The sequence below is a fragment of the Homo sapiens genome, chromosome 9 (assembly GCF_000001405.40).
Source record: "Homo sapiens chromosome 9, GRCh38.p14 Primary Assembly".
NCBI lineage: Eukaryota > Metazoa > Chordata > Mammalia > Primates > Hominidae > Homo > Homo sapiens.
In genome coordinates this window covers 17,757,482-17,773,901 of record NC_000009.12, presented here as the reverse complement: position 1 = coordinate 17,773,901, position 16,420 = coordinate 17,757,482, and the positions used below count along the sequence as shown (strand labels likewise).

The window sequence follows — 16,420 nt, the reverse complement described above, 5'->3', positions numbered from 1 at the left end:
TAAGATGTCAACATTATTCAAAGCAATCTAAAGATTCAATGCAATCCCTATCAAAGTCTCAGTAACATTTTTTGTAGAAATGGAAATCCCACCCTAAAATTCATATGGAATCTCAAGGGACTCCAAATAGCAAAAAGAATCTTAAAAAAACAAAGCTAGAAGACTCACACCTCCTGATTTGAAAACTCACTACAAAGCTATGGTAATACAGTGTGGTACTGTCATAAAGACAGACATGTAGGCCAAGGGAACAGAGCAGAGGGCCCAGAAATAAACTCTTGCATACACGGTCAAATGATTTTTGACAAAGGTACCAAGACCACTCACGAGAAATAATAGTCTTTTCAACCAATGGTGCTGGGAAAAATGGATCTATATGCAAAAAAATGAATTTGGACCTTTTTCTAATACTATATACAAAAATTAACTCCAAATACATTAAAGAGCTAGCTGTAAGATCTAAAACTCTAGAACTCTTAGAAGAAAACACAGGCAAAAGCTTCATGACACTGGATGTGGCAATGAATTCCTGGATATGATACCAAAGGCATATGCAACAACAAAAAAAATTACACAATTGGACTTCACGAAAGTTAAGAAATTGTGTGCATCAAAAGACACTAGAAACTGAGTAAAAAGGCAACCCACAGAATGGGGGAAAATATTTGTAAATCATATCTGATATGTACAGAACTCCTAAAACGCAACAAAAAACCCAAACAACTGGATTAATAAATGAGCGAAGGCTTGAATTGACATTTCCCCAAAGAAGACATACAAATGGCTAAAAAGCACATAAAAAGGTGGTTAACTTCACTAATCATTAGGTCATTACAAATCAAAACTACAATGAGATACCACCTCACACTCATAAGGATGGTAAACATCAAAAAAACAGAAAATAACAAGTGTTAGCAAGGATGTAGAGTAACTCGAACCCTTGTGCACTGTTGGTGAGAAAGTAAAATGCTGTGGAAGAGAGCACAGTGGTACCTCAGAAATAAAAAATAGAATTCCCTTAAGTTCCAGCAATTCCATTTCTGGATATCTACCCAAAATAATTGAAAGCAGAGTTTCAGAGTGATATTTGTATACTCATGGTCATAGAAGCATTATTCACAATAGCTAAAATGTGAAAGCAACTCAGTTGTCTATCAACAGGTGAATCTATATAAAAATTGCACTATTTACACACAACAGAATACTATTCAGCCTTAAAAAGGAAGGCAATTCTTATATACACTATTACATAAGTAAACCTTGGGACATTATGCCAAGTGAAATAAAGCCGTCACAAAAAAGACAAATGCTATGTGATTCCACTTACATGAAGTGATTAGAATAATTAAAATCATAGAGCCAGAAAGTAGAATGGTGGTAGCCAGCGGCTGAAGTAGGAAAGGGGGAGTTATTACTTAATGGGGATAGAGTTTTACTTTTACAAGACAAAAAGAGTTATGGAGATGGATGGTGGTGGTGATTACGCAACATTATGAATGTATTTAATACCAGTGAAATGTATACTTAAAAATAGTTAAGATAATTTCATGTTATGCATGTTTTACTATGAAAAATAAGAAAAATTAATTCTAAATTATTTTAACTAAATTTGTGAAGTCTAATATAGAGATTACAATTGTAAGATGAGTATAAATCCTCAAATCACACTAAATAAGATTTGGGGCTTAATACTTCCAACAAAATTTATGTAATAAATAGCATCTTAGCATGCATTTCATTTTGGCAACATGTGATTATTGCATATTATGGCCTGGTTTTCTTAGGTGAAGTCTCAGAGCATCTACAAGTCTGAAACGTGGCCCTCTGATGCTCTCTGCACTGATACCAATGTGCTCTGCTGTTTTGCACACTAACAATTACGAAATGACAGAAAGAGTTATACTGTAATGAGAACTTAGGTAAATATACTCACATCTATGTTGTTTCTTTTGTAGTTAACTATTAGAAGACACTGAGAAAAGGGAAGAGGAAGATTTGCCTACTGACTTACACAAATAGACAACCCTAGCACTGGATCGTGCTACTCTCAACCCAAATAATGGTATTTATATAACACCTCTCTCCAAGGTGACAAAGCTCTCTTATGCCTCAAGTAGGAAACAGCAGGGAGGGATATTAAGACCCTGTGCTGTAGTACACAGTCAGCAGCCCTAAGAACTTGTGACATGGGGCAGCAAACATCTCCCACCTCAAGATTGGGTGCTGCAAGGTGCCAACACAGGTCTCACAGAGTGCCCTGGCAAAGCAGGCAACTGTCCCCCTCAGGGGCATAAAACAGTTTGTGAAATCTGAAAAATACACAACCCTCAGTGTACTAACATCATCAGCCTTTGCTTTCTCAGGTTTTCAGAGCAAATAGAGGGTGGTGGTAAATAATATATCCTTATTGTAAGAAGGGTCCTGCAGTGGGATTTCTAAAGACCTTGCCCAGGGAGGAACTGCTGGGTTAGCATCTGAGATGCCCTAGGTTGAGCTGCAGTACCCCAGGAAAGGAAGGTGCATAATATTTCTTGAGTCCCTACTAAGTGTCAGGCACTGTGCCAAGTGTTCTTTGCTATCATGTTTCAAAACACAAAGATATCTTCAGTCTTTGGTGGAACTGGACTGACCTATACTCCCTGGGGGGTTCAGGAGACCTCATCTTAAGCTGAAAAGACAGTGACAGGTGTTCCCAATCTACCTCCTACTTCAATGTAAGGTATCCAAGGAGCCTAAAGCCACAGGGCAAATAGCCTGATGGCCCCAGCAGACAGTTGTATGCTTGAAATAGGAGCTCTGGCTGGGAACAGCCACACTGTATTAGTTTTCTACATAGAATAACAAAGTACCACAAACTCAGTGGCTTCAAACAACACACATTACCTCACAGTTTCTGCAAGTAAGTCTGGGCATGCCTAAATTGAGTCCTATGCTCAGGGTCTCGCCAGGCTGCAAACAATGTAGAGTCAGACTGCTTTGCCATGTGGAGGCCAGAGAGGGGAGAAGTCTGCATCCAGGCTCACGTGGGTTGCTGTCTTCCTGAGTCCGGGCTGTTCACTTCTCTGTGGCAGTGTGATTGAGAGCTCTGGCTTCCCGCTGGCTGTTGGCCAGTGGCCACCCTTAGGTTCTAGAGACTACCCCCAGTTCCTTGACATGTGGTCCTCTCCTTGGGCTGTCATAACATGGCAGTGTGCTTCTTCTAGACAAGGAAGGGAATGTCTCTCGTATTAGTCTGCTAAGACTGTCTCACATAATGTGACTTGGTCATGGGAGTGATGCACCATCGATTTGGCCATATAATGTAATCACTATCAAGGGAGTGGTGAGTAGTTGATTCCATTACCTTTGCCATATTTATTGGTTAGCAGCAAGTCACAGGTTCCATCTACACCCAACGGGAAGGGATTATATAAGGGTGTGAACCTGTACAAGTCACCCTAGAGTACACTTGCCACACTTACCAAGCCTGGAGGTATCTTTGTAGTTTAAGACTTTGTAGCATAAGACATTTTTTTTTGAAAACAGAATGTGCCTTGGAGATAGTAATATCTGAATAAAGATTCTGGCTGTTCTGTTGTATAGTTCGGGCAAATTGCTAATCACCTTGCAGCTTCAGTTTTCTCATTCAAAAATAGATACAACTATTATCTATGTATATAAACACAAATGTCTATTAATAGCTTCAGCCCAGTGATTTTATACATGACAGTATGCACATCCACACTTTTCCCAAAGCAATTGTGAAATATACTAATTGTACATGACACCAAATAGATATTACACAGAGAACAGCTCTGATACTGATCTGTAAAAGTCTGCAGACCACGACACTTACCTGAAAAGTTAGCTACTCCCGTAAGATGGAGCTTATGTATGCTTCACATGATTTGATTCATTCATTAAGCAAATTAATCAATCGCTAGCACCAAACTCTGTGCTAGGAACTGGGTATATATAAAGGAGTAAAAGAGACATAGTCCTTGTCTTCAATGACTATGTTTACAATATACTGGAAGAGATGAACAGCATTCATTCAATAAATATTTACTGAGGGCACTACTTCCATTATTACGAATAGTAAATAAGACAGACAAGATTCTACCCTTCTGGAGATTACGTTCTATATGAGAAATGGGAGTGATGTGAAAACAATAAACAAAAAGATAAATTAGAAGATAATTCCAAATGTTGATAGGAAATAATATAAGGAGGTATGAGAGGGATGAGGAGAAACTATTTTCAATAGGGGTCGGGGCAGGAAAGGACTGTACAGGGAGACGGCATCTGACTGAAGGTGGAGTGATGAGGAGCAGCAGACATTAACAGGAGCTGGAGAAGAGTGTTCCAGGCAGAAGAAACACCTGTGCAAAGACCCCGAGGCAGGAACAAGTCTGAGGATAATTCTCAGTGCAATGGAAGCCAGTGGAGAGTTACAAGCAGAGGAGTGACAAGATGTGAATTACATCTTTAATGGATGGAACTGGCTGCTATGTGAAGAATGTAAAATAGGAGAGTAATAATGGAAAAAGGCAGTATAGTGAACAAATCATAAGTTGCATAAAGTAAATATTATGAAAAGTGCAATAAAAGAATAGAATTGGGCTCTTTGCAGTGTACAAACAATCCTGTGCTCAAGTCACTGCGTCACTGCATTTCGGTAGCAGTGACAAGCAACACTTTAACAAGTAAATGTACATCTGAAGTGGTGCTAAATGCTCTGAAGAAAAGTAAAACAAGAAAAGGCTTAGGAAGTTAGAAGGGCTGATGTTTTAAACAAGATGGTCAGGAAAGCTGCACAAATTAGGTGACATTTGAGCAGAGACCCCAGCGAAGGCTTTGAGAAGACATGGAGAGGAAGTGATTGAAGCAAAGGGGCTGGCCAGGCCCCATGAACAATAGTGCCTGTGTGTTTGAGGAAGGCTAGCTCAGAAGGAGCGAGATGGAGACAGCCAGGAACATAAGGAATGAGCTCAGATCCTCAGGACTTTGTAACCCACATAAGTGCTTTCAATTTTATTCTAAGTGAGGAACTTCTCAAGAGATTTGTTGAGGGGAACTCATGTGATATAAAGGTAGCATGAAAATATAAAACTGGAGTAGAAATGATTTCGACTTGGCCCTCAGAAGACACCACTCAGAGTCGAGATACATAAGCTGAGACAGGAGGGATGGTGAGAAGACAGTTGTCGAAGAAGGGGCAGATGAGGGCCCATATTCTACCAGGAGAAGGGGAAACAGCCGCTACAAACTCCTGATACAGCAAAGAACTTGAGGAATTGAAGAAACTAAAGGCCACAGAGTGAACAAGAGGGAGAAGGAACTAGGAGAGACAGAAAGCACAGGGGCCACCACATGCTGGATCTTAAAGGCCATGCTGAGGATTTAGGTATGGTATTTATTTATAGTATTTAGGGACTATTCACGTGAGGTGCCATTAACTTAATTCTCAATATACATGTACACATGCATTTTAAATGTATACTATATTTGTTATGATTAAGAATCTGGTGTTTTTTTTTTTTTTTTTTTTTGAGACAGAGTCCCGCTCTGTCGCCCAGGCTGCAGTGCAGTGGCATGATCCTGGCTCACTGCAAGCTCCGCCTCCCAGGTTCATGCCATTCTCCTGCCTCAGCCTCCCAAGTAGCTGGGATTACAGGTGCCCACCACCAACAGCAGCTACTTTTTTGTATTTTTAGTAGAGACAGAGTTTCACTGTGTTAGCCAGGATGGTCTCTATCCCCTGATCTCGTGATCCGCCCACCTCGGCCTCCCAAAGTGCTGGGATTATAGGCGTGAGCTACTGTGCCCAGCCCTGATTAAGAATCTTTTAAGCAAGATCTGGCTTTAGCATTCATTGTTTAGACACACAAGTAAAGAATATCATTATTCCACCAGTTCTAGCTGACTTAAAAGTCTAAATCACTTACAGTGTCTCACATATTTCAGGAACCTATTTTCAATATTTTCCCCAAAGATGTAGAAGTAGAAACCCTCCAGCCTTTCAATACATTAGTATATGAATTATATCACCCATCACCTGACTTAAGTTTTCTTTCTTAATATATTTATCCTTGAAATACCCTATTCCTTTGAAGCTTAACAACATTTTCCTCACAACTGCTTTTGTAATCTGTCCTTTATGCATTTTGATTATTTTTCATTGCCAGGATGTGGAAATGGAAAAGCTCTGGCTACTAGACTCAGCACACATCCCTTATTCTTTAAGTGAAGGATGGATATATTCATTCATACACCTATTCACCAGACATACTGAGAGCAAACAATGTACCAGGCATAATGCTAAGGACTCTAAAAGATGCAAAGATGAATACAAGCTATCCTGTCCTCCAGGAAAAAACAGTAAATTCAGTGTGTTGTGAGACCAAGGATTTGTCTACATGAATGCCAAGTAATACATGTATTCATTTTCAGTTCCACAGTCACCAAATATAATCACTGTATTTATTCATCTTTGGAAGGACATGATTAAGAGCACAGCCTGTGGGAAAAGAAGTACACTAATTTTAATAGAGTATCTTTCCAGGGACTAATGGTACATTTTGAAACTAATACAGCTAGCTTTTATTTCCACAGGCAATATTTCACAAATGAGATTTGAAATTATTAAAAAATTCTAAATAGACATCGAATGACCCCAATTTGATACCCAAATCTCAGAAATGCTGGAAAAATCTAGACCATATAGGCATTCAAGGGAAAAGCATTTCCATAGAGAAACAAACCCCTACTGTGTACAACATTTTTCACATTCAAGCTGCTTTTTATGTAAGCAGTTTGGAAATTTGTATTAGATTATCACATCAGGGTAAGAGTAACTTCTCAGTGCAAACTGAAAAGGCCTCTCTCATAACAAGGATGCTAAGTCTGGAAAAGGTCCACAGTCCAACTGTCTACAATTCCATTCAAGTGTCATGAAACAGACTTTCAGAATTTTTTTTAAAAAATCCAGAGCCTAAATATATCCTAATTCTAAATCAAGAATCCATTTCTCTATTGAAAAGAAAAACCCACTGATAAAACATAAAACCAAGGAGGTAAACATGAAACATATATCGAACAGAAAGGCAAACTATCTAGTGCTGTACCGTCTATTACGGGCACCACTGGCCACAGCGGGCTGCTGAGCACCTGAAATGTGGCTAGTCCAAATTGAAATGTGCTGTAAGTATAAAATACAGACCGAAATCCAGAGTATGAAAAAAAACATAGAATATCTCAATAATTTTTAATAGTGGTTAATATTTTGGCTATAATGGGTTAAATAAAATATATTATTAAAGACAATTTCATCTTTCTCTTTACTTGTATAATGTGGTTTCTAGAAAATTCAAAATTACATATGTGGCTTGCATCCTATTTCTATTGGACAACATCGATTCAGTTTTTGCTCCCCCGTAAGGCATCAGAATATGTAAAGAAAACTGAGTTATATCTTCTTCAGTGATTTTTGCTCACAAATATCGTAAGAATAGGCACTTACAACCAGTAGAATGGAATTTGTGCACAGTACTTTCTATATTCAAATTATATCTTATTTAAGCATTTTAGGAATGTGTACTGGTTCATGCTATTGCAGTTCAAGCTTGGATGACTTTACAGCTGTCTGTCCTGCGTTCTCGAAAGCCCACCCTCACAGGGCAGACGTTTAAGCCTGTGATCCCGCTCACACTTCCACATCTCATCAGTTAGCTGGATTTTCCAGGAGGAATTAGCTGTGAAGCCTTCTGGGCTCCTCTCCTCAGACTGTGTGTAACTTACACTAAGACTGTGAGGTTCCAGAGGACAAGCCTCCAGTCTTGGTCTCATTTCTGCCCCACAGCATCTAGAATTGCTCTTTGCATAAAAGTAAATGCATGTGACAAATGTTGGTTACATATGAGTATCTGATGATTTAGGGAAAAGGAAGAATTTTTCCTCCTACTTTTTGTATTAGAGAAGTTTTAGTACATTAGACACTGACAGTCAACTGTGCTTCATAATTCATTTATTCCAATATCCCAGTGCCTGTTGGCTGCCTGGAACTGAGCTGGGGGCTGGGGATGTGGTGGTGAATAAGACAGGCACAGTGCTGAACTCATGGCGGATGAAAAACAAAACCACAAGTATGGCATGTGCCCCACTGAAAAGCAGCTGGGATTACAAGAGGGACAGTGACAGGGGAACCTAATGTGGTTGGAGCCAAGGAAGGCTAATAAGTGACCTTTACGCTGGACCCGAGGGAGCTGTTAGCCTAGCAAGGTGTTGGGGAAAGGGCAGGCTGACCATGCAGGGAGGGCCCCTTAAGCCATGTTAAAAATGAAAGTTAATCCTAAAGGCATGAAAAGCCATGGAAGGGTTTTACATAATATGACCAAATTTGCTTTTTAAAATATCATTCTGGAGATGGGCAAGAGTGGATGTAGGACCTTCACAGAGCATAGCCATGTATTCTTAAAAGCTAAACAAAATCACTTTGGTCATCACTTCAATAGGAACTGAGTTTTAAGAATAGAAAACATGTGTAAGCTCCACACCCCCAAGACGTGAAAGCCAGCAAGCACCCAGGAGCAGTAATCTAATACAGATGTACTCCCAAAGTACCCTCGAAGCATCAAATCCTACTGATTCCCCTGGCCTGTCCATGAACCCAAGATGTGAAAGCCAGCAAGCACCCGGGAGCAGTAATCTAATACAGATGTACTCCCAAAGTACCCTCGAAGCATCAAATCCTACTGATTGCCCTGGCCTGTCCATGTACCCAAGATGTGAAAGCCAGCAAGCACCCGGGAGCAGTAATCTAATACAGATGTACTCCCAAAGTACCCTCGAAGCATCAAATCCTACTGATTGCCCTGGCCTGTCCATGTACCCAAGATGTGAAAGCCAGCAAGCACCCGGGAGCAGTAATCTAATACAGATGTACTCCCAAAGTACCCTCGAAGCATCAAATCCTACTGATTCCCCTGGCCTGTCCATGTACCCAAGACGTGAAAGCCAGCAAGCACCCGGGAGCAGTAATCTAATACAGATGTACTCCCAAAGTACCCTTGAAGCATCAAATCTTACTGATTGCCCTGGCCTGTCCATGTACCCAAGATGTGAAAGCCAGCAAGCACCCGGGAGCAGTAATCTAATACAGATGTACTCCCAAAGTACCCTCGAAGCATCAAATCCTACTGATTCCCCTGGCCTGTCCATGTACCCAAGATGTGAAAGCCAGCAAGCACCCGGGAGCAGTAATCTAATACAGATGTACTCCCAAAGTACCCTCGAAGCATCAAATCCTACTGATTCCCCTGGCCTGTCCATGTAAATGTGTTACTTGGCATCAGGCCCTGTCCTAACCCAGGCCATATCTTGCTTATTCAGAACCAGCATTCAGTATCCACACTGGTTGGCCCAGCTCTAGGGTTCACTGAAAGGCTGAGTGGGCAAAGTATTTAGCAAACTGCACGAGTTTGGGAACATTCTTTGTGCTCTCCTGTGCCCAAGGACTGTCTCTCTGGGTGTCTGCCTAACTCTCAACTTTACCAGTTACCTGGTCTGGGCTCTATGGCCAGTGTCTACTCTCAGGGCAAGAAGCTGGTGGAGGGATGAAATTGTACCTGTTGTAAACAATTAAATGCAGGTTGTTTAAATTCTGTGGAATGATTACACAAAATTTTCGTTTTGTTCTGGACTCTTCTGGGTAGTACTTACTCATATATGTATGTGGCCTGCCCATACATAACTGTTTTTCTGAAACCAACCTCGAATTGCCTGTAATGGCCTTCATTGTTCTTAGTGGCAGATGTCCATTCAACTCTCAAATAGTCACAAAACCATTATATTGGCAGCCAATTAGCACATGCAATATTGTATTAAAAATGTCATTTCTAAACATTCAGATCTTCTCAATTACCTCCTCCTTTGATGTTTTTTATTAAAATAAAAATAAGCCTTAATCCCACAATTTCCTTTCTGAATTTCTCTGGTACTCTCTGAAAGGGAAGGACCCTTCACACCTAAATGAAATGGAGCCTACCCTTCTCAGAGGCAGGATCGTGCAACGTGAAGTGCAGAGACTTAGGAGGTAGTCAGACCTGAGTTCCAATCTTGTCTTCATCCCTTCCTAGGTGTATGAATGGGAAAGTTCCTTAAATTCTCTGACCCTTGTTTTTTCCTGAATAAAATGAGGCTAGCGTACTGGATTAGTTTTCTAGAGCTGTCATTTCAAATGACCACAAACTGGGCAGCCTCAAAGAAAAGAATTGATTCCCTCACAGTTCAGCATACCGGAAGTCTGAAATCAAGGTGTCGGCAAAGTTGGTTCCCTCTGGAGGCTCTGAGAGAATCCTTCCTCATGTCTTCCAGCTTGTGGTGGTGGCTCCTGGCATTCCTTTGCTCGTGACGTGTAACTTCAACCTCTTCTCATTCTTCACGTGGCCTTCTTTCCTGTGTTTCTCTGTGTCCTCTCCTCTTCTCATAAGGACACCCATCACTGGTTCTAGGGGCCACCCTAAATCTAGGAAGAGTTCATCTCAAGATCCTACATCACTACTTACATCTGCAAGGATTATTTCCACATAAGGTCACATTCCTTATAAGTTTAGTTCTGGATGGACCTGAATTTGGGGAGACACACAATGCAACCCACCACACCTACCTACAACAGAGCACAGTTCCATTATACTCAGGAAAACTGATGAGCTCCCACTGATAATTTGTGTTACAATGAATTTTTAGTCTATTTTCATACTAGAAATTCTTCAACTGTTTTTACTTTATATGGAGAAAAATGGTTACTTTTAAAGATGAGACAATGCCTCATATACCTAGCACTGCACTGAAAATGCATCAGTGCTCAATAAATACTATATTCCTCCTCCCACTGCCTTTCTCTTAGCCCTACAACCATGAGTTACAAGTACAACTCGTGAAAATCCCAGGAAATCATGGAGTACTTCAAGGTTCTAGGCAAAGATAAAGACCAAAACTTCTTGCCCCTATATAATGATTTCTTGCGGGGAAGCAGGGCGAGCAGTTCTCTTTCAGAACTTGACCTATGACAGTGGTTTAAACAGTAAGGAATAAATGTGCATCCAAGAGATCTTTGCATCTCTGTGAAAAACAGTGGTTACCAAGAAGGTTCTGGGTAAAAATAAGAAACCTGATTTTTGCAGTGCTTTGACAAATTTGCTAAGCATTTGAAAATGTATCTAGACCACTGTCAGTTAAATTCCTGGTTCCTATAGCTTATCACATTTTCTTCCATATTTTCCTCCCTCACATAAGCTCATTTCTAATGTGTTTTATGAACAAAAACAACAGCAACAAATATCCAGAAAGTTATTCCTACATAGTCTGCTCATCCTCAGAATAGCAGCTGGGCTGGTCATAGGTGAATAAGGATGGAAGGAAGCTGCAGCCAGCAGCAGGGGGCATAGAAAAGGAGCCAGCACTTAGTACAGCACACACCTGCTTCCTCTCAGCCCACACCCGCCCCCTTTTTTTTTTTTTTTTGATCACTTGTCCACTATTGCTCAGTATCCAAACTCATTGGGGCTGAAGCAGTTGTCTGCACCATCCTCTCTAGGACCATAAAATACACGGAACCCCAACCTGAAACTTGCAAAGAAACTAGCCTCAAGATTAAGGGGTATTCCAAATATTCACACATCTCACTTAAATACAACCAGCCTCACTTCCCGTTTCCGTGCCCTGTGGTTAGAAACTGACACACAGGAATGGTAATGAGGAGGTCTATCAGGTAGGCTGCTTTGCTTTGCTTTGCTTTGCTATACCTAGTGCCTACCGAAACTGCCCCAACTCTGCCTGGTCCTCTTATCAACATATAGCTCCGTTATCTCTATTACCACTTCTTTTTCTTAGAGTATAACAAGTTAGCAGGAACCAATGCTGATCTGTGATGTGCTTGGAGAAGAATCAGAATCAAGATCAACGCTCTGAAGACTTTGGTGATGCCCTATGAAGAAACCCTCTGTGTTTCATGAAAACGATTCACCTCCCTACTTTTTCACATCTTCTGGGAATCATTATATCTTACCTTAAACTATCCTAATTTTCCTTCTTACCATCTCTTGAAAGTTCAAACTGATAACAGTTTATAGCTACTCTGATATTATGTGTCACCTGAACTGTTTGCATACATTATTTGTTAAATATACCACAGTCAGATAAAATACCACAGATCTTCCAGTTACTTCAATGTGAGCTTTAAAAAGCCCTTCTCCCCAGTTAAAATGTGCTATCCATGAAGTCGCTAACCTCTCAGAAAAGTGGACCGAGGAAGCAACACCAAAAGAAGAAACACACCAAACTTAAAATGTCTATCAAAGAGAAACTAAAAGTTACCTCGAGGGATCCTTTAAACATATAAGATGATGCCTTACCTGGATTGGGTTGAAGGTATTCAATTGTTTTAGTCATTATTTCCATCACAGCCCTGCTGGTGACATCCACTTTCTGAAATGAGAAAATAAGTGCTCTAAATGACAAAAATGATGAGCTTTAGAATACCGGTTTTTGGTTGAGTCTGTATACAATGGCGGGGTATGCAACAGAGCCCCGGACAAGTCCCGCAGTAGGTGAGGGAGGCTGAGACGCGGCTGGAAGTCATGCTGACACTGTACTCAGCAGTGGTCTGCCAAGATGTGGAAAGCCCGTTTATCCAAAGAAGAAGCTTGTAGTTTCCTAAAATTTGTTTCAAAATATAATTCATTACCTTCTGGTGAAAATAAGGTGAATAAAATGAAACATATTTTGTCCCAGAGGCATTTATTGGATGCCTACAGTGGGTCAGGCATGGAGGCAGATTTTGCTGCCCTCAAGAAAGAATCATGCAGCATCAACTCTGCTTATTCAAGAAGTGGGGAGCTTTTTATTTAACTTCTAAGAACATCCTAAAAATATAAAATCTTGAGCAAAGACTTCTAGTCTGTCCTTGAACTTTTGGTTAATGCTAAACAAAAATCTTGATGCTAGAGTCTATCCTCCAAATTTGTTCTATCCTCTAAATTTCTAAATTTGGAATGGTCAGTGTTTGCCTTCAGCATCTCACCGTGTTCTCTTTGTCAGGCCCCTCTCCCCACTTGAAAGAGGTCATGGAAGGTGCTCACTGCAGTGCTCTCTGTCTTTCTCCAAGAAATCCTTTTCTTATCAGCATCTGTGGGCCTCCTATTCGCCCTACATGGTAAATGACTAATGAGAATAAATGCATCCTCCTATTCAAGGTATGTACATGTAATATATGACATAGGTATAAATGAAAGTGATTAAATTTTAATGTAGAAATTTAGGTATCAATTAAGTCCACTGGAGAAATTTTCTGTTTGTTAAAAGGCTCCCCCTTCAACTATGAGAAACTTTTCCATAACCTGCTGTACCTAGTGGTATATAATATATACCAGTATATAATATCAGTATATACCAGTATAATATCAGTATATACCAATATATACCGGTATATAATATATACCGGTATATAATATCAGCCTTGCATAAAGTAAGCCTCCTCCTTTTCCATAATCCACACATTAAAAGATTTTATCTTTCAGTTCAGTTTTTCAATACTTAATAATTTTTCATTCCATGGCAGTCATATTACTGTGTGTGTTTGCTATTACTAGGATCAACAGAGGAAAACAAATTTTTTCTTGTGAAGTTATAATGATATAAAATTATCTTTAGAAGGATGCAATTTCAAATGTGCCTGTCTACATATAAATCTTGTATAAATATCCTTTTGATTGATTCAAATTTCAAAGATCTTTAAGATTGAGTGTGTACCAGGTAGTGATTAGCTTAAAAATGCTCAGTAGCCCCCTGGAGTTGTGCAGTACACAACTTGTGAAGCCATATGTGAAGGTCCTAGTATTAGCAAAATTCCAAACAACCACTATGTACTCAAGTCATAGAATGTCTTATGCCAGGGAAATGGATCAAAGGTGTGTATGGAACAAATATGCTGAAACTCCATGGTACATGTGTGATAGAAGTACAAATGTAGATCTCCTGCTGCCTATGTGATGGGAATTAAGGAATTAGATGACAAATGTGTCTAAATATCCTGTAGTTATGATGAGAAGGAAAATCATTCAAAAAGCCAAGGTTTCTAAAAAAGAGTGCCATAGGAATTAAATTTTCCAATGGCTGTTTGATATCCTGATGTCATCTGCTGTTAAGGGGCTGACCAATTTCTAAGGTTCCCCCATCTCTGTCCTTAATAATTATAACAATCATCACCATAAGCTGTCTTCTGTTTGTCAGAAACTGTTCTAAGGACTATAAATATCTTTACACACTCAATGCTCACAAACTCTGTAATGTATATGAGAAAACAGATACAGAGGGGTTAAGAAACTTCCCCAGTTCTAGTTCCAGTGTGTGTGTTCTTAATGACCATCCTATACTTCTTGAAAGCAAAAGCTCTTCCTAAAAAGACAGGCAACAGAGGCATCTCCCAATCTGAAAGAGAGGCCAAGTCAGAGCTGGAATATGCTTTGTTCCCTCCCTAAGATGGGGCTGGGGACCTGGCAGTAGCCGGTGAAACAGCATCAGCAGGAAGGTACCTGCCATCCCATATTCTGTTTTTATTTTGAAACTTCTCAAAGTCTGTGGAAGCTTCATCCACAAGACTATTCCATCCTGGGCCTCTCTGGAAGGGAGGCTCTGCAATGCTGATCTGCTGAACCACAGGCCCTCAGTTTCACGGGTTTCCCTACAGAGACTGGTACCTGCAGTGTCTATCCCACCTGGCCCACAGGGAGGTGAGCAAGGAAGGCTGTGAAAGCTAGTTTCTCATTTTGGCTACAGAACCCCCTTCCCTTTTAAGCTCTGTGTAGGGAGCCCAACCACTCATGTAGTGTAAACAGACACCACTAGCTTGGCTGAAGCCAGTGGTCTCAGGGAAGACCCAGAGACCCTGGGGATACCAATATTAGATTATTACATTTGGTCCCCAGGGCAGGACTCCATCTTAAAAGAGAAGTAGGAATAAAAACTATTCCAGTGTCCCTTGTGACTTGTCTAAAGAAAGAGCTCATCCCACCCAGATGTTTACCGACTTTGTGCCCATTGAGGCAGACTCCTTCAACACTTTTGGTTACCTAGTCCAGGCATCATTACAGAGCAAGTTCTACCTAAACCCTTTTGACTACAACATAAAATAACCTTCGCTTGAAATCCACCACCTCTGAAAACAACTTTATTCAATACAGTTACATTTTTATTTCATTATCAGGAATTATACTAAAGAGGGACCCACTTTTGGCAAATCCATTCCTAGGCCCTTGCTACTGACTGCAATTTTTTTTTTTTTTTTTTTTTTTTTTTTTTTTTTGAGACAGGGTCTTACTCTCTCCCCCAGGCTGGAGTGCAGTAGAGCAATCTCAGCTCACCGCAACCTCCTCCTCCCAGGTTCAAGCGATTCTCCCTCCCCAGCTTCCCAAGAAGCTGGGACTAGAGGCACGCACCACCATGCCTGGCTAATTTTTGTATTTTTTGGTAGAGACGGGGTTTTGCCATGTTGGTCAGGCTGGTCTCGAACTCCTGGCCTCAAGTGATCCATCCGCCTTGGCCTTCCAAAGTGCTGGGATTACAGGCATGAGTCACTGCACCAGGCATGGCTGCATTCTTACAGATAATTACTTGATAGACTTCATGGACATAAGAGGAAGAGACCAGGGGAGCATTCTGTTTAACGCTTTAATTTATTAAATGTCCACACCTGTGGCCTAGAGAAGGGAAAGGAGCTCTTTAAGTGTGTTATGAGGAGAAAAGTAGTTCCCAAGGCCATTAATCAGAGGCTTTCTTTAAAAAAGTACCAGAAGAACTGAATGGTCCAATGATTAGTCACATTCTGAAGTCATCTGCCAGTAGGAGGCTGACTAATTTCTAACTTCTCTCCACCTCGGTCCTCCATAATAATGCCCAGGACTCTTTTGCTAAACTACACTGTGTCAGCCAGAGACAAGCTGAGGGCCATAACCCCATGAGACCCCTGAATGTGCCTTGTTATGCACTTGGCAGAAGAGTTATTTATATACCTAAGCTGGTAATATCCAAGTACATATTCTCTTAGTAACAGGCCTGATTAACTTAGCATAAAGAAGATTTCCACTTAAGTAACTTATTATAACTAGCAATTCCCATAAGCTCCCAGAATTGAGCTTATTGCCATTTGAGAACAGTACAGTTTAACTTTGAACTTATGACATGTAACTGTTATTTTTCTCAATGTCCAAAATTTCCAATTACTATTTGAAAGTAAGTTTTGATGCATCCTAAATTACAAGAATTTCTCATCTTATAAGCTCCTGAGCCTCCGTCTTCAACTAACCTTGCCTGGGATTGGTGTGAGGAGCCATTAGGGAAGGCTGTTTAAAGAAAGTGAAACTGTTCATATCCTTCGCCCACTTTT

The 16,420-nt window shown here is 40.5% G+C and overlaps 1 protein-coding gene across 3 annotated transcripts in view; it reads right to left on the bottom strand.

Moving 5' to 3' along the window:
• Positions 1–16,420, bottom strand: part of SH3GL2 (SH3 domain containing GRB2 like 2, endophilin A1) — a 218,059-nt gene that overhangs the window by 23,223 nt on the left and 178,416 nt on the right. For all 3 annotated transcript variants that reach the window (NM_003026.5, XM_047423730.1, XM_011518005.4), the window contains exon 3: positions 12,393–12,465. In NM_003026.5, coding sequence (NP_003017.1) covers positions 12,393–12,465 — 73 coding nt within the window. The remainder of the gene's footprint in view (positions 1–12,392; positions 12,466–16,420) is intronic.